General features: G+C 41.7%; 1 protein-coding gene across 5 annotated transcripts in view; it reads left to right on the top strand.

Annotated features, from left to right (window-relative positions):
* Positions 1-19,156, top strand: part of MYLK4 (myosin light chain kinase family member 4) — a 106,740-nt gene that overhangs the window by 63,125 nt on the left and 24,459 nt on the right. For all 5 annotated transcript variants that reach the window (XR_926185.4, NM_001347872.2, XM_005249078.5 and 2 more), the window contains 2 exons: positions 14,393-14,468; positions 18,296-18,401. Coding sequence is in view for 4 of the 5 variants with exons in the window: in NM_001347872.2 (NP_001334801.1) it covers positions 14,393-14,468; positions 18,296-18,401 (182 nt within the window). In the remaining variant the exon portion in view is untranslated. The remainder of the gene's footprint in view (positions 1-14,392; positions 14,469-18,295; positions 18,402-19,156) is intronic.

Here is a 19,156-nt window from a genome sequence, read left to right as displayed (position 1 = left end):
ATGGCCATAATAGTTGGAAAAAGTTACTATTCTTAAAGCAGTTTTTTTTATTTCACAGTTTAGATCTATTTTCTGCAGTTGGTTGAAATAGCTTAGGACCTGAGTATGGAGTATGTAATGTCTCTCAGTTAACAGAGGAAGAAAAACGTATACTGTCCCGTGTTGCTTTGTGCAGGTATGTTCCTGTGATATTTACTTCAGGTTGCTACCTTTATGTGCAAGTGGACGTTCACAAAGAAGAAAAAGTTCATTAAGCACTTTGAGAAAGACGCAGCTGCATGTAGTAAATACAGATGGAGCCCCATTTTATATGGGGCTTCTAACTGAAAACAGACTTTAATTCTGTTCTTGGAATACCCATAATTGAGCTTTCCATCTGTGATCATGTGTTTCTGCTGCAGAGGCCAGCTGTCACCTCGTCGTAGGCATTGATTTACTTATTACTGCTCTGAGTGTAGTTTAGCATGTTCTCCGTGAAGGAGGAAGAGCCAGTCTGCATTGCTGTGGCTTCCTATGGAAATGCACGCCCTGGGTGATACTGTACCTCTCTCCTCCTCGAAGAATTTCAAGTGGGGCCCTCTGCCAATCAAGGAAGTAAGCCAGCCCCTCCTGGCTCCCACACGCTGTGTAGTCCAAAGCTAAAGTTTCTCTTTCGATACCACAGGTGCTAATACAGTTTTCATAATCTTGTCCATTATTATATCTATATTAAAAAAAGCTTCACTGAGGTATAAATTTATATACAAAAAATTACACGTATTTAATATACACGTTTTGATGAGTTTGGACAAATGCATACACCTGTGATACCATCACCACCATCAAGTTACTAAACTTATCCATCACCTCCAAAAATGTCCTTTTGTTCTTTTGTGGGGTTTTTTTTCTGGAAAAAAAAAAAGTCACTTTAGAGTGACGAATAACGTGCTTCTCACTATAGCGACCTGATACCAAAACATAAATTAATTCTTATGCTTATACAAATACCTAACACAAATTAATCTATAGTTGCCTACTCTTCTAAACATCACAGAAAACAGTATACAATAACAGATAGAATATTCAGAGCTGTGTGTCTTTGAAAAATGCATTGTGATGGCTGGATGTTTAATGAGAGAAAAGATCATATATTGCAATGTCCTATGACATTTTTAAAGATGAAAGTGTGGGAAAAGATCATCAATATTATTCAGTGTTATCGACGGTCATCCCTTTTGGCAAAAACATTTTAAACATTATTAAAATTTCCTGTAACTAGGTGAAATTGGGTAGAATCTCATTTCAAGTTGAGCTGATTGGGCTACAATGCTCTTTAAGGTTTTTTTTTTTTTTCCCCCGAATTCAAATGGATTACATAATTTGAGAAATTTTCCCTTTCTTTGTCTTATTTTGAGCTTCTAAAATACTATGTTCTTTTGTGGTAAATTGTATGGTTGGGAATACAAAACAGTTACCTTTCTAACCCAATGGACTGGGAGGCAAACTCCTTCCATTCCCGTAATTTCTTTGTAATATAAAATTTAAATGTGATGTTAAATCTAAGTTGTTTTTTCAGATTTCTTCTTGTTCTGCCTTCAGCCAACATGGAAAATAAATGGCTGATTTACACAACAACAAAAAGTGCTGCTTTTTGGATTTGTTTTGGTTTCATTCACCAAAACAGCAATTTCCTGCCTTGGAGAATAAGAGATTGTTATTCTTATTTGAATCAGCAAATCAAGCTCCCTGCTTAAACAGGGAACACAGGCTCATTGCCATGGATGACTGGGACCAGGAATTTGAAAAGGACCTGGAGGGGCATGTGTTACAAACTCAGACTCTGTATACCCCCATCCCGCTTCACTCATTACTACCTCCAAGCAATGCTTGAGAAGAAACTTGAGAAGAACCTTGAGACTACTCCCATCACCCTCCCTTCCCTTTGTAGAAAGGGGAATGGGAAACTTTGTTGAGAAAGTCCTCAGTAGAACGATTTCCATGTTGACAGTTCCTAATGCAGTGAGGAGAACCTAAGAACTGAACCCAAGTGAAGGCCTCACCTGCTGAGAAATGGGGAAGAACTAAAAACACTAAATAAATCAATAAGAAGCACACAGCCACCCAAACAAGCATCTTGCTTTCTTCTGCGATCTGTTATAAAGACATTTTTGCTTAGCAATCTGGTTACCACTAAATCATAATCACAACAGAAGACAGATTCCAAGGGTGGAGATATTTGGAAAAGCACCCGAGAATCGGTGTCTTGCAACCATATAAAGTTTCTGAGGATGCTCCTTCGCTGTGCTAAGCTTTCTTCTAGCTCCTGTGACATCCTAGAACTTTAAAGCTGAGGGGACATTAGAGTGATGGATATGATGTATAATTGGACTGGCTACTTAGTTGCCATTAGAAATATATTGTAAAGGACTTTAATAGTAAAATGCAAAGACATTATTTAGCACTTGATTTGATGTTGGGCTAGGAGATGTGCAAAGAAATTTAACCAGACATTTCAAAGGAAAGAGCTACTCCCTGCTCTTGCCTTCTGGAAAAATTAGTTTCCATAATCATAATAAAGTAAAATGTGGCAGCAACAATCCCTAACTCTAACCTCATTTCCCATGATCAAAAGTATTCATGAAGTATCTCTCTGGGCAAACATGTTAAAGCATGCTAAAGAAGTTACGGCCAATGCAGAAATATGAATAATAGATCTTAAATATATACACTAAGCAAATGAATGTTTATAGTACATGTTCTGATTTTTAGTAGGTCTAAGAAATTTGAGAAGGTGATCAAATGGTAAATTACTTCAAAAACCATACTGAGGATAGAGTTTCAGATGCTGCTGGTGACACAAACATTTGAATTTCTACAAAGGTCTGAGAAGACTTAGCTTTTCTTCCAGAGGTCCAGGACAACAGATTGCGCTGCATGGACGTGGGACTTGTAGGTACCACAGGAGTCTGGGAGCTGGACATCAAAGTGTGATGCTGAGGAGGATGTAATAAAGGGCATGTAATGGCAGCCCTTGACAAAAATCTTCATACAGGTGGTTGAGATGATCAGTAAATACAGCCTGGCATCAGTTCCCCCAACCCGACCTTCTAATCAACAAATCAGTCAATCAATCAGTGTTTGTCATGAGCTGACACTGAGTTAGATTCTAGAGATACTGAGATGCCTTGAGGGAGTCAGAAATGCAAACAAATCATTCAACACAGTGTGATAAATCCACGAAGATGTGTGGCCAACAGAGGCAGAGAGAAGGTGGACTCCTCTTTAGGTAGAACATATGGGAGGGGAGTGTTTAAGAAAGAATTCGCCTGTAATCCCAGCACTTTGGGAGGCCGAGGCAGGCAGATCACGAGGTCAAGAGATGGAGACCATCCTGGCCAGCATGGTGAAACCCCATCGCTACTAAAAATACAAAAATTAGGTGGGCGTGGTGGCACACGCCTATAGTCCCAGCTACTTGGGAGGCTGAGGCAGGAGAATCGCTTGAACCCCGGAGGCGGAGTTTGCAGTGAGCCGAAATCGTGCTACTGCACTCCAGCCTGGCGACACAGCAAGACTCCGTCTCAAAAAAAAAAAAAAAAAAAAAAAAGAATTCACAAAGGGAAACCTTCCTGAATTGGGTCTTGAATAATGGGTAGGAGTTCTACCTGTTTTCTCAAAGTAGGGTCACTGGACCATGTGCATCAGAATCACTCCCAGAGCTCATGAAAAATGTCCTTGGGCTTCAACCCAGACCCATAGATTAAGAATTTCTGGGGAAGGAACTTTAATAATTTCAGGGCCACCGTCCCAGGGCCTAAGGTAGGTAAAGGCATTGCTGGTAGTAACTCTTTTACCTCTCTTCACTGTTGTCCATTGCTCTCTCCTTGACTTTCAAAGCACACTTTGATTCCGTACCTAATAATGAACTTGCAGGGATAGCGTAAATATTTTTAAAAACTTCTTATTTAAATATTAAATATTACATGGCCAACAGCCTGTTGTTGTGGCCACATGCCTTCATATGATACTCTTTTTCCCTGGTCTGTACACTAATAACTGGGAGTCCACAGTTGCTCACGTATCAAGGTGTACTGCATTGGACCAGGGTCCTGGGGGCCCCCTCCATGCTAGATATTGACCCTATAGTTACTGGTCTTAGGATGGTCCTGAGGCTGAGAGGAGGCGAGGTCGGGAGGTTGGAGGAGCTCCTGGGAGTCTCAGAAAATCCCCTATTTACCAGCCAGCATGGAGGTATTTCCATGTTTTAATAACTAGGATGGTACCAGCATACCAGCTGAATATTTCCCCCACGTCCACAATCAAACAAAGGACAATGAGACAAGAACCCGAAGAGTTCAGCTTGGTGTTCATGTTCTTCATATATTGAGGGCTTAAGCATATCTTAGGAGTAAAACACAGACCGATCGGGGGTGTTGGAGGGTATGTACTAGCTGTGTACTTAACATTTTTAATTAATTTATTTCTAATTGACAAATAACAGTTGTGTATATTCCTGGGGCACGGTGTGAAGTTTTGATCTATGTATACATTGTAGAAAGGGTCAATCAAGCTAATTCACACATCTACCACCTCCCCAACTTAACACTGTTTTGTGGTGAGGATGTTAAAAATCTATTCCTTTAGCAATTTTTAAATATGTACAGTATGTTATTAACAACTGTGGTCACCAAGCCGTGCAATAGTTCACTAAAACTTATCCCTCCAGTCTGAGACTTTGTACCCTTTAATCAACAGCTCATCTTTCCGCCTTCCTTCCCCACCCCACCCTTCAACCTCTAAATTTTGATTTGTAAGAACTATGCTAGACACAATACTTTTATTTTCTTTCAAGTTGATAGTCACCTTTATTGTAGCCAGGTTACAGCACTTGTATTAATTCTAACTGTATTCTTTGCATTAATCCTGACTGCCTAATTTGCATTTTGGGGCCCATCAGAATACATTCCTAATTCTCCAGAGCTTGGTTTGCCTTGGTTTTCATCCTGTCTTTGGGCCTTAATGTTGCTCTTCTCTGAGGCCTGAGTTTGGGCAATCTGTCAACCCCAGAGATTAGTGGAAAGTTCCAGGCACATGATACCTAGTTATGCATGCTCTTCCCTGAGCTCCAGCGGGAGTCCTGGGCCTCCTGAGCAGCTCACGGATGTTCCACACAGTGCTGGGTCTCCACCAACTGCTGCCAGCAAGGCCAGCGGCATGCGGCCCCCAGTGAATGCTGTCTCGACTCCCTCCCCGCTCCTCACTGGCTTCCCTCTGAGTTTACCCAAGTACGAGATTAGCTCTTCAGACGCCTTGTGGATGGAGGCAAGATGTAAATAGACACACGAGGCTGGGACACATATTTTGTAAAATGATTCTTCGCACCAATTCATGACGTATATTAACTAGGTCAACGCTTCTGAAATTCTAACATGTATGGGAACCACCTGGCCATTGGTTAAAGAGCAGATTTTGATTGGGTGGGTGGTGGGGAGAGGCTGAGGTTCTGAGGTTCTGCATTGCTAGCAGGTTCCCAGGAGATGCTGCTGCTGCGGATTCACCAGCCCACTTTGCATAGACTGGACCAGGCGACTAAATGTTGGGGACAGTCATAACTGATTAGTTTTTTACCTACGCAGTTTGTATTACAGACAAATTCATTCATTCAGAGACATTTTTGAAGAGCTTTGTAGTATCTCTTTGCTTTTCAGAGGTAGCTTTTCAAAAGTCACTTTGCTTTGCAGTGTGTGTTTCCTGTGTAGGGGAAGATGCAGAAAGGTAAACCATTAGGAGGTTAAGCATTTTACTCCTTGAGTCTAAGCGCAGATCTCTAAATATTCCTGCAGTCCAGGGGACCACACCTCGCCTCACATTAGGAAACACCAAGCCCCTCTGAGCCTCGGCCGGCGTGCCCCACTGCAGGGAGGCAGTGGGGCTCGGGGAGGCCGAACTGAACTTAGGCTCAGAGTGGGAGACAGGAGATGAAGTGATAAAAAATGATCTTAAAATAAAAATTAAAAAGCATACCGAGAACCCCATGTGAAATGAAGGCTCTTAAAACTGTCTGCGGCGGGAAGAAATCAAAGAGTTTTATTGGGTGATGAAGAAACACTGTAAACTTCATGCGAAAACATTCCAAGGTTTGGACTTGCGTTATGAAAGGGAAATTTTACAAAGTAAGACTCATTTTAATGAAATGAACATGAGGAGCTGTGATTCCATTTGAAGTCGGTTGACACACACATGCACTCACGCTCTCAATTTCTTAGTAGCCTCACTGCACAGTTTTTGAAGTGCTCAGGTGCTATTCTGGTGACGGAATCCCAAGAAGGCAAAGCATCCCTTGATGTATAGTTTTTAGATATACTTTTACGCAAAGTGCTATAAATACTTCTATGCCCTGAAAGGTGATATTTCTCCACCTCAGCCTGAGTCCTCCTCTCTTCTGCTTACCTCCATTTTAATGGAGGAATTAAATCACTTTCAATTACTAAATTTTGGCCAAGAAGCAAGGCAGAAAGCTTTCAGGCAGAGGACCAGAGGCATGGTTGGCAACGTTGGATTTTTTATTTGTTGCCCTCCCAGGATGCCCCATAGATCATTTTTGGAGGGAGGTTTTATGGGTCTCAGGGCCGTTTACCTTGGCCTCATTTCCACACACGTATCCCTGGGTGGAGGATAAGGAGGAGGCAGTGGTTTGCTAGATAGTCCATCCTGGATAGGATCAAAGACCTTGCTTATCGGGGGGAGGAAGAGGGATTCCAGTGTTGTTATAATTGCTCCAATCTGTGACCAGAGGGAGCCTGGCTGGTAAGAAGGCCTCAGAACAAAGGCCAGAGTGACCGGAGGCGACAGAGGAAGTGGGTCCCCTCCCTTTTAGTACTTTACAATCCCTGGGGTGTGGGTGGGTTAAAAAACACTGGTGTTCTGGCCCCACTCAAGACCCAGTTTATCAGAATCTTCAGGGGAGGACCCAGGCATTAATAGTGTCCAACATCCCCAGATGGTTGAGAGCCACATATTAGAACTTAGAACAGTTTGGATAACAAAAACAGGTGGGGTGGTGGGGCGGCAGGGTGAGCAATGCGAGTTTGAGAGGGAAAGAAAGAGCGGCCTCAAGTCAGAGGACTCAGCGTTTTCTCTGTGGGGAGGACAGGTAAGGTGGCAGTGGGAAGAAAATAACAATATCAGACTCATTATAAGGTGTCAGCACATCCAATGGGTATAAGATGGGGGAAAATAAAATCTGTGTTATCGAACTACTCACTGTGGCCACATAGGTAGGTGAAGATTCTTAATTTGTTCATTTTAAGTGGTTGTTTTTAAAATTTACACAGACAGGCTGGATAGAAGAATGGAGGAGAGAGAATATTTGTAATAATTTGTAGCTGTGACCCACAGCCTGGACCCCCATGGTGGCCAGTAGATGTTAGGGGTTGGCCACCCCATCTTACAGTTCTGTCCTCTACCACCAGGCTCAAGCGCTGATCTTTTCAAACCTCCTCAGCTCCGAACATATAACCCTTTCTACAACAAGGGAGTTATCAGGATAAGAAAACTTGGAAGTATATTTATAAAAAGTTTTGATGTCAATAAGGAATAGCCTGATGGAGTAAATTTGACCATCCTGGGCTCCACACGGTCTTTTCTTGCTAGCAGAGGCTGTTAAATATGGTAGCAGCTGGGCATGGTGGCTGACAGCTGTAATCCCAGCACTTTGGGAGGCCGAGGCAGGTGGATCACGAGGTCAGGAGTTCAAGACCAGCCTGGCCAAGATGGTGAAACCCTGTCTCTACTAAAAATACAAAAAAAAAAAAATTAGCCAGGTGTGGTAGGGGGCACCTGTAATCCCAGCTACTGGAGAAGCTGAGGCAGAGAATTGCTTGAACTCGGGAGATGGAGGTTGCAGGGAACCGAGATTGCGCCACTGCACTCCAGCCTGGGCGACAGAGAGAGACTCCATATCAAAAAAAAAAAAAAAAAAAAAAGAAAAGAAAAGAAAAGTGGTAGCATGCTTTCTCTTATGATACAGCTCAATGTATATTATAATAAAATAAAGTAAAATTATCCGTGCATCTTCATTCAGTGGATGATCCAGTTAGGCTTTCCTAAATCCACACCTTTAACTTCAGGCTCTTTCTTGGTCTATGTACTTGGAGGGTCCCATTTACTTGGCTTCCGAGTGAAGCACTGTGCACATAATTGTGGGTGCATGGAAAGGCTTTAATTTTCCTGGCGGGGTTATTTTCTCAGGTGACTGACTCCACCTGATGTCATCAGCAGCCTGGGGAGGATCCACTTACTGAGTTCTGAGAACAGGTGAACACTTTCCCTTTCTGGATTTGGTCAGTCAGTTTCTGTCCTGCCTTGAGCCATGCCAGTCCCCACAGACCATGAAACAGGCTTTGCTTAGTGAGAATTCCTTTTATCACCCAGGACTTCAGGGTTTTCTCGCTTCATACATGGAGAGTTTGAGTGTGTGCTGAGGTTGAAGGGAAATAGATTTGCTTTACAAACAATCTCTAGAAGTATCTTCTATGCTCAGGCAAGAAAATGTTTTCATATTTCTTCTGAAAATTCATCTCTTTGTATTCTTGTAGGATTTATTTATTGTTCTCTCCCCCATTAGGAATCTAATCCAAGTTTAATAAAGTCATTATAAATTGTTATACTTTTGTTTAGATATTTCTAGAACTTAGGTAAAATGGCCAAAAATTGTTCATCTTGGCATTTCCACAAACAGTAATATGCAAAACTGTTATTCAGGGTACATGACCCAGCGTCCTCTGCTAGCAAGAAAAGACTCTGCGGAGCCCAGGACTGGTCAGATTTATTCCATTAGGCTATTCCTTTTTCACACTGAACTTTTAGAATTTAAATACACTTCCGAGTTTTCTTATCCTGATAACCCCCTTGTTGTAGAAAGGCCATGTGGGTGATACGTTCAGAGCTGAGGAGGTTTGAAAAGACCAACACTTGAGCCTGGCAGTAGAGGACAGAGCTGTAGGACAGGGTGGCCGACCTCTAACATCTACCTGCCACCATCAGAGTCCAGGCTGTGGGTCACAGCTACAAATTATTACAAATATTTGTTCTCCTCCATTCTTCTATCTGGCCTGTTTGCAACAGTTTTAAAAAGAACCAGGAATTCTCTATATGTTATGTTATGAACACAATTTTCTGCAGCAACTGTAATCCCAAAATGCATGGCCGTTGATATTGCTGGCCATCGGCTATGTAAATTCAGGGCTGTGGATATGAGCCACCGTGGCAGGGATGCATCTGAGATGGCCCCCAGGGCAGCCTGGCTTTTCAGGGGTGCAGCCTGATGACAGAGTGTTCTCACAGTGAACGTGCCATTCCAGAAAGCACTGTTTTCTTCATCACGCATTGCTTCACCAAGCACTTCAGAACTTTACCCTCTGTTCGGTGCTGGGGAAACGAAGGGGAAGAGAAGGGTCCGTATGCCAGCGGGCAGACAGACACATTGAGAACGCTGCAGTAACACGGAAAACGATGGTGGCATTGTTGAGGTCCAGAGGAGCAGCCCTTATCTCAGCCTTTATGTTCTTTCAAGGACAAATCCGTTTTACCATTGATTTTTTAAATGATTTTTATTGAATGGGAATGAAAGAAGGATTAGACGATGTTGTTCAGTTGAATGAATTTCCCTTTCAGCTATTCCGCCACTCTCAGGAAAAGTAGGGTTTTGATGTAGTACTGGGACAGGTCTGTGACGCAGGGCGAGAGCGCACTCATGCCCAGGTAGCCGGCACACGCCTGTGGACCGATGCCGCCCTGCTGTTCAAATCTGGATCCTATGGCAGTAAATGTAATGGTTAACGGAGAAAAGAGGATAAAGTGCTGACTTGAAATTGCTTAAATAATCAAAACTGGCACGCAAGCGATGAATACTGAACTCTTAAAAGCAGTACTTTGCAGAAGGAGAAAAAGAGTTTGCAAGAATTGAGCTGATAGTTCTAATTATGTTCTTGCACTCAAACCGACTAATTAGAATGATCCTGCTCCAAAACACACTTCAGAAAATCAGAGTGTGAAGCACGGTGTTATCTACAATTGTCTCCAAATTATTTTGATTTTGTGCTGCCATCAGTAAAATATTTTAAAGCACTCCGCGATATATTTATTTATAATTATATACATTGATAACCACTACATGCATTTTATTTTATTTTATTTCATTTTATTTTATTTTTGAGACGGAGTCTCTCTCTGTTGCCAAGGCTGGAGTGCAGTGGCGTAATCTTGACTCACGGCAACCTCCGCCTCCAGGGTTCAAGCAATTCTCTTGCCTCAGCCTCCTGATAGCTGGGACTACAGGTGTGCACCACCAGGCCCAGCTAATTTTTGTATTTTTAGTAGAGATGGAGTTTCACTATGTTGGCCGGGCTGGTCTCAAACTCCTGACCACATGATCTGCCCACCTCGGCCTCCCAAAGTGTTGAGATTACAGGTGTGAGCCACTGCGCCTGGCTGCACTTTTATTTTTATAAATAACATTTAATATGTCAGAGATACTTTTATATGTGTCCAATTGTATCAATATATTTTTAAAAACATATGTAAAATATAAATGTTAAAAGAATGGTGTCTTAGCTTGGGCTGCTATAGCAAATTATTCTGGACTGGGTGGTTTAAACAACAAACATTTATTTCTCACAGTTCTGGGGGCTGAGAAGTCCCAAATCAGGCTGCTGGCAGATCCAGGGCCTGGCGAGGGCCCCGTTACTAGTGTGTAGTGGGCTTCTCCCCATAAAGAGTGAGCAAACTTTCATTTTGGTTCTTATAAGGGCACTAATCCCATTCATGAGGACTCTCCAATCATGACCTAGTCACCTTCGAAGGCCCTACCTTTTAATAGCATCACCATGAGGGTTAGGATTTTAATATATGAATTTGTGTGCGTATATCGTCGGGGGGGATACATTCAATCCATAAGGAATGGAATAAATTGAAATGAGTTCTAGCATGTCCTTGATACCCTCCAAAGGACTACTATGGACACTCCCTGGGTACGTATATCCCACTTACGAGACCAGTCTAGGAAGCCAGACAGAGTGGAGAGAGCTAAGCTGTGTTTTGAATACTTGGACATCTGGACCACTTAGCCTTTCTTCCCTGTGTCATTCTACATCCACTGATAAATTATTATAAAAGGAATTGGTAAATAGTTCCAAAGAAATCCATATGCAAATATAGAAATATTTTTAAGTGAATTTGCATGAAAGAGGTCCTTAGGTTCATCCCAGCCATCGATGTGAATTCAGCAGAGGAATATAGTCACTGACATGGTTTTCATCCCATTAACTGGGGATGGTCAGGATTGGGTCAGAAACTTAATGCTTAAGAGCACTGGTCCTGTGCTCTTTAATCGGTAGAAGACATGTTTCATTTTTGGACAATAAACAAGGTGTATCTACAAACTTGAGCTTTCTATTTTAGCAACTTCTAGGCATAACTTAGAAATACAAAGTAAAAATGTTTCATATTTTTGGTTGCAGTCCTGAAAAGAAAAGGAGAAATACAGCGTCTGTCCTGGAAAGGACAGGAGAATACAACTTCTGTTTGTTGGAAACTCTTCGGTTCAAAGTTCCTCTAGATGTCAGTATTACATAGGGAAATGAAACTATAACAGCCTTTGGCAATGAATAAAGGCCTTCTTACATTATTTAAATGGAAAAACATATGTGATATATAATTACTAAAGAAAAAAGCAACCTCTCTTGGAAGCTGGCTTCTTATATTCCTCAATACTGACAGCTTCTCCTGTTGGTCAAGTCCAACTCCGAACCCAAAGAATATTGGGTTAGCATGTGGACTTTTCCACCTGATACTCAGATGGCCTCAGGGGCAAACGTGGATCTATCAGTGCTCCATGGAGTCTTACAGCCAGCTGCTCAATTTTATATACTTTTATGAGTAGAAATTGACTGATACATACCAGTTTTCATTATTAAATCCACGTATGCTTATATCATTGCATTCATGCCACACAGAATAAACCCAGAAGCACAATGTCTATTGATACACCAGAAGTTTTCATTTCAAAAGGGAAGAACTGAAAGACAGTTATAAAACACCTTAAACACAATTTGTTAAACTGTCTTATTCGACTAATTTGGATATATGCTTTCAAAATTGGACTTAAATTCTCTCCTTTTTTTGCTTCTCTTCCATGTTAATTGTAATCTTTCGACAAATATTTATCTCTTCACTCTGCTAATTTGTTTTTGATTTATGACCTTCTCTCTTAATCATTTTTCTTATCTCCTGTGGTGCCAACTATGTAGTAGATCTCAATAAATAGGAATCATGTAACTTGGCTATAGTCTTTCTATCTTTTTTTTTCCCCAGAAAGACAGTATAGGGTGGTAGTTAGGTGCACTGGCTGAAGTAGACAGCTGGGTCAGAATCCTAGCTCTACCATTTCTAAACTTTATAACCTTGGGAAATTACCCAACTTCATTTGTACGATGGGGCTAATAGTATCTATCTTAAAGGGCTGTTAGCAGGAGCAACCAGTTAAACAAAGTGCTTAGAAGAGTGGTACATAATGTGTGTGCACAATACATGGTAGCTGTCACCACTACCACCATCATCACCATGACCGTCACCATCACCACTACAACCGCCATCACCACTACAATCATCACCACCACCACCACCACCACCACCAGCAGCACTACCACTACCACCACGACTACCACCACAACCAACACTACTACCACCACCACCACCACCGCCACCACCACCACCACCACCATGACCACTACCATCATCATCATCATCATCACTACGTACTGGTCTCTGAAGTAATCACCAGGGAGTCAAAGATGAACCAGTCTTTTTGCCCACTGGAAGTCCACAGTCTAGTGGGAAATTGACAGGAAAAAAGGCTTAAAGTGTTATAAGGGACACCAGGGGTGGGGATATGTGCTGAGTTCTGTGCAAGCACAGAGGAGGGAGCAATCAGCTTTGTTTGAAGAGGCGGCAGCCCATTGTCCCTGCAGAGGGAAAAGTAGGCAAGTGCCGTCTCTGGACTTTCACTTAAAGAGAAACTCTGAAGCTCTCACTTCCAGCCTTGGCTTTCCACAGATTTACTAAACATGCCTTTATGTTTTAAGTTCACCATCTAAAAAACGGAAATACTCTGAATCCATGGAGCTGCCCCCTGCATTGTGTAAAAGCACATTTGCAGCCGGACATGTTGGCTCACACCTGTAATCCCAGCACTTTGGGAGGCCGGGGCAGGCGGATCAACTGAGGTCAGGAGTCCAAGACCAGTCTGGCAAATGTGGCAAAACCCCGTCTCTACTGAAAATACAAAAAATTAGCCAGGCATGGTGGTACATGCCTGTAGTCCCAGCTACTCAGGAGGCTGAGGCAGGAGAATCGCCTGAACCCGGGAGTTGGAGGTTGCAGTGAGCTGAGATTGCGCCATTGCACTCCAGCCTGGGCAACAAGAGCGAAACTCCATCTCAAAAAAAAAAAAAAAAAAGCACATTTGCAATTTGTCTTGATATCTGTGCTCTGAACTTACATGGTGTTTCATGCTTGCAAATCAGCTGAAGGCAGATTATGTTGTGTTTCAAAGGGGAAATAAATACTTTTTTTGGACATCCACACAATGTCATTAATTTATAATGCAAAACTTTAGAAGTTGTGATAATTTGGGTGGATTGGGCTAATGTTTCCCTTTTATATGGGGTACATTAGCTAACGGTTTGCTCAACTAATTCAGATACTCCAGGACTGTGAGAAGAATGTTTATCCACTTAGGAAAAGGGCCATCTGTTCTAAGCACTGTAAAGGTTCCATTTATAAAGCTGACTTTCATCTCCTACTCTCTGGTTTACAGAGCCCATTCACATGTATCCTCTCATTTCTATTTGATTTATATGTCAACCATATCAAGACAACTTACACAGAGGTCAAGGGTGATGCACACATTATTAACATCCTTTCATCTATTCATGAAGATGGGCTTTTTCCCATAATGACAGTTTTACAGAATTTCTTTGAAAATAGTGAGCTCATTTCAGATACTGTAGTCTATACAGGCTTTCATTAATTCAGACTGTTCTGCCCTCTACATTACTATTAATTTTACTGGGCTTTTTTCTATGTTTGAATCATATAATATAGTAGTTTTCAGCCTGGGGTGACGGGTGATTTTGCTCCCCATTTATAGATCTCTGGAGACCTTTTTGGTCATCACAACTGGGAGGGAGGGTGCTACTGGCATCTGGTGGATAGAGGCCAGTGATGCTGCTGTCCTGTAATGCTCGTGACATTCCCCACCACACGGAATCATCCAGCGCAAGTGTCAGGAGTGCTGAGGTTGAAAAGCCCAGATGTGATATGTAACTTCAATTACTCAATTGTGCCTCCACAGGCGAAGGAGGTGTGGTCAAACGCCGACCTGACGGAAAGGATGCCCGTCAAAAGCAAAAGGACATCAGCCCTCGCAGGTAACATCTTTAGAAAAGTAGATAGTTATGGATGAAGAAAGTTCCGTTATAAAAGTCCTGTTGTTATTCAGAGGAAGTTGCACATTCATAAAGCCCTGTGCAGGAAGAAGTGATGTTTATAAAAAAATGCCCCCCCCCCCCTTTTTTTTTTTTTGCTTGTGTTTGGGTCTTACTAGTTACAAACAAGAAAATCTTTTGGAACCCAATTGGTCATATTTCCTTCTACTTAGCTTTTAAAAGCTTATATCTGCTGATAAAAAGAAACCTGGATAAAGATGCCATTATAGAAAGCCAAAATTATACTGATCACCTGCATTCTCCATTAAAATATTTTGTGTCCTATGGTGGCTTCTAGAGAGATCTACCCAGAAGAATCAGCTCTCCTCTGAGAAAGAAAAGGTTAATAAACTCAACAAGAAAAATGCTGAGAAGACCAATGCCTCTCTAGTTCATAGAAGTTTTGCCATATTTCACACAAAAAGACAAGACAAAGTAGAAGATTTTGCTCCAAGAAATTCTATAAATCCAAGAGAGAATATAGATGGAACAGACATTTCATGCACAGAGAGCCTGAATACACAGGAAAGTGATAGTGCTGGGAATGAACAGCAAGACACTGCAGATAAAAATGAACACCCAGTGTTTGAAGAAGAGAGAAACGGGTTTCATTCTAAGGAAGATACTAGTGGATAAGAAGCTGAGGAGAAAAGAGAACTGGCAACTGCACATGAGACAGTGCTGGACCAATGTCAAAATAAAAATCAATACGTGTATCAAACTAATGGTGACCAATTTCACGAAAGGTAGGGTTACAGCATTGCGTATCCACAGCAATGTTTTCTCTAGAGCTATGTGCCATTGCGGTTTAAGGCCTTATTGAAAGGATAAATGAAGAGAGTTTGAAGCAATGATTTATAACTTGGTTTTCCAGCTTATATGAATTTTTCATGGCCACATTTTCTAGCCATTATTTTTTCTTCTTGCCTGTGATATTTTCAGGCATTTTGTTATTTTCTATGTTTTCTACCAACTGGTAGACAAAGATGATGATTAATAGTGCCCACAGGAATCAGTATTTTTTAAAGATGAAGTAAAACAGTTTCATTTTTAGCAATACAGAACATATCCTTCCTAAGGACAAGAATTAAATAATGACTAGATTTATCCGTAAGTTAAAAACCTAAATCTGAAAAAGCTTACCTACTCCATTATAAATAATAAATTGCCTATTTTCCCAAATATTGTGAGGATGAAGTAAGACATAGATTATTGAATGACTTTCTTTCTCAACTACACAGTTTCACTTATAGATTCAGGTAATATTATAGCCAATTAAAATGAACTACTCTAAGTTATGAGTAATCACATATCACAGTATCTATTTGGAACCAAAAGTATCAAACCACTTGTGTGGTCTTTTTTAGGGATTTAAAACATAATTCTTAGTTCATTTTTTAATAATGTATCTGAAACCTCATCTTGGAGAAATTTAATTTTCCAAGAATTAAGCATAAATATTAATGATTGCTAAGAAAGAAACTTCAACACTGCCAGATGTGTTCAGTAAGGTCGAGAGCTGCTGAGAAATGGAAATTAGGTCAATTCTTCCACTGATAAAGGTTTAGTCTCACTGCCGTTAAGATTCAGAGAGATTGGCTGGGTGCGGTGGCTCACGCCTGTAATCCCAGCACTTTAGGAGGCTGAGGCAGTTGGATCACGAGGTCAGGAGATGGAGACCATCCTGGCTAACACGGTGAAACCCCGTCTCTATTTAAAAATACAAAAAAATTAGCCGGGCGTGGTGGCGGGCGCCTGTAGTCCCAGCTACTCGGGAGGCTGAGGCAGAGAATTGCTTGAATCCGGGAGGCGGAGCTTGCAGTGAGCCGAGATCGCGCCACTGCACTCCAGCCTGGGCGACAGAGCGAGACTCGGTCTCAAAAAAAAAAAAAAAAAAAAAAAAGATTCAGAGAGATTATTGCTTCTTTTATCATGCTATAATTTAATAATTTCTCTCTAAGGAAAGGAAGTGAAAAAATGAAGATCAAATTAGTTAGGTATTCATAAAATGACGGCTTTTGTTAAGTTCCAGTGGAATAACTTGGGGTCACGATTTGGCCAGTGGTGAGATTCCCTGGGACCCTGGTTCTCTACACCCATAGACTTGATGGGGAGCGTGCTGCTCCATTTCCTCCCCAAGCCCCGAAATGGTCACCTCTATCACGGAGCTCACGTCCTCGTCACCAAAACACTGTTTTAAGAAAACCTTCTTAAAGAATTTCCACCATCTGAATGTTTTCTTCTTGAAACTTTGAGAGCTGCAACTGGACTTTACTTCCCAGGTGTGTCAGCAGCATAAGGGCCATTTCTACCCCCACGAATCCCTGGAAGTTCAGCAGTAGGATCCATTTTCTGGAATGCTGACCAGACAGAGTGCCCGGGCAGCAGTAAGCGTGGAGTGGCAGAGGAGCGCCTCGTCAACGAGGACAGCAAAAGGCGCAGAGTAGACATAGTCGGCACAGGGGAAGAACACACGTGTCAGAAGACACAGGCAGCCAGGCAAGCTGAGGAGCTCCCGGGGCCGACTCAGGGAGTCTGCTGGGATGAAGACCTCCCGAGGGCAAGACGGCCTGACCCCACTGGGTAGGAAATGGCTTTTGTATGGGCCTTTTAAGGCTTTTTAACCTTCTCCAGCAAGCATTACAGACTAAATTTCATTTAGTCTAACAGCCTGCAGGAGATATAATGCCATTTCGATGCCGCTTGTGTATTTAACTCCCTCTATTAATCTGAAACAGTGAATGTTATCAAGATGCTTCTCTGGTGACTTCAGTTTTCAGCATATTTAGGCTCTGAGAGGTGATGTCCATATCAAATCAGATTCCCAGAGATTTATATTATCTGAATTTTTAAAAATATTAACACTTGGCAGAGTGCCTGGAACAAGGTAAATGCTCAAGAAACATATGTCAAATAAATGTAGAGTGTTTTGAAAGCAAAGCTGTTATTTACTTACCTCCCTTTGTATTCTTATTGTATGCATGCAGTCGCTGCTTAGTAAATGAATTAACGAAGAATGAGCAGGTTCATGGCAAGCCAATTTCAACAGCAGTAGTCATGGAAAGGTGAAAGAATACTGGGAGGAATATCCCTGAGTAATTCTGTATGTTAGAGCTGGTGCTGATGTGGACGAGCGTTTAAACACTTAAGGTGGAAGGGGAGAAAGTGGGAGAAATTTGATCTCTGTTGAATACACACTTACCTGGTTTTATTGGGTGTTTTATTTCCAGCCAGCCAGGAAAAATTCATCTTTGTGCCTTAAATGTGTCTTAAATAAAGTCTAAGACATTTTGGAAAGTAATATATAATATCAAGCATTTCAACAACATGAAGAAATGTTTCATTTTTCTTTTTTGTCTCTGATATAATTAAAATAATGGATTATATCAGTAATGCATTTTAAAAATGAATCAAACAATTTCTCATGTTTGAATTTGAATGGTCTCAGGCTTGGAAGTATTACCTGTTTGGACTGTGTTGGGTTGGAAATTTTCAACTATTTTGACATTTCTAAAAGTGATCCTGAAGATGGTATGGACAACCATTGAGCCGCCCTGACACTCTTTCTCAGAGGTGTCAGGATCACCTTTATGAGTCACAGCTCATAATCTCAAGTGGAAATCTATATCCCTGGATCATTAGGAATCAAACAGATGGCTCCTTGTATTTTATTATTAAATGAGCACATTTTTACTATGAGGCCCAGGCTTGCTGCCTTAACGAGGTCAGACTTCTTGACAGATTGCCCTTCTGTTTCTCTCACCTTCTAGTTGACATCCCGGCTCCTCCGGCCCCATTTGATCATCGTATTGTGACAGCCAAGCAAGGAGCGGTCAACAGCTTCTATACTGTGAGCAAGACAGAAATCCTAGGAGGGTGAGTAAGGCTGAATGTTAATATTCTCTCAACAAAAGAAGAGAGCGTGCAAATGACTTCGTAAATGTCTGCCTGTCTTGACCTGAGAACTAGAAACATTAGAAACAAACATTTTAAGAAACAGTAACCATTTCTGAAAATTGTCACTGATGCCAGAAAGGTTAATGTGGTGACTAAACTCCACATTTATTATCTGCTTTACTTCCCATGTTGTAATGTCTAAAAGAAAGAAAAACCCATTGTGAGTCACCAGAAGGTTGACCAGCTGTCCAAAGCCATAGTGCAGCCTCCAGGAGACAGAAGATAGAAATGAGTCAACAGCGTGTAGTTTTTGTGGCCTGTATTAGGTCTTTCTGTCATTGCTGCTGGTTTTTCATTTATGTTGTTACTATATTAATTACTATTATTCATTTCAATTGATTACTTTGCTCAGCAAATAACTTATTTTAGGGACATTTAAACACACATTCTCCCTAAAGAAGGAAGATTAAAGGCCTTGCGCGGTGGCTCACGCCTGTAATCCCAGCACTTTGGGAAACTGAGGCGGGCAGATCACTTGAGGTCAGGAGTTCGAGACCATCCTGGCCAACATGGTGAAACCCCGTCTCTATTAAAAATACAAAAATTAGCTGGGCGTGGTGGCGCATGCCTGTAATCCCAGCTACTCGGGAGGCTGAGGCAGGAGAATCGCTTGAACCAGGGAGTTGGAGGCTGCAGTGAGCCGAGATCAGGCCCCTACACTCCAGCCTGGTGAC

Source organism: Homo sapiens, chromosome 6, assembly GCF_000001405.40.
Source record: "Homo sapiens chromosome 6, GRCh38.p14 Primary Assembly".
Classification (NCBI taxonomy): Eukaryota; Metazoa; Chordata; class Mammalia; order Primates; family Hominidae; genus Homo; species Homo sapiens.
The sequence above is the reverse complement of the archived record's forward strand: the minus strand, read 5'-3'. Positions and strand labels throughout refer to the sequence as shown.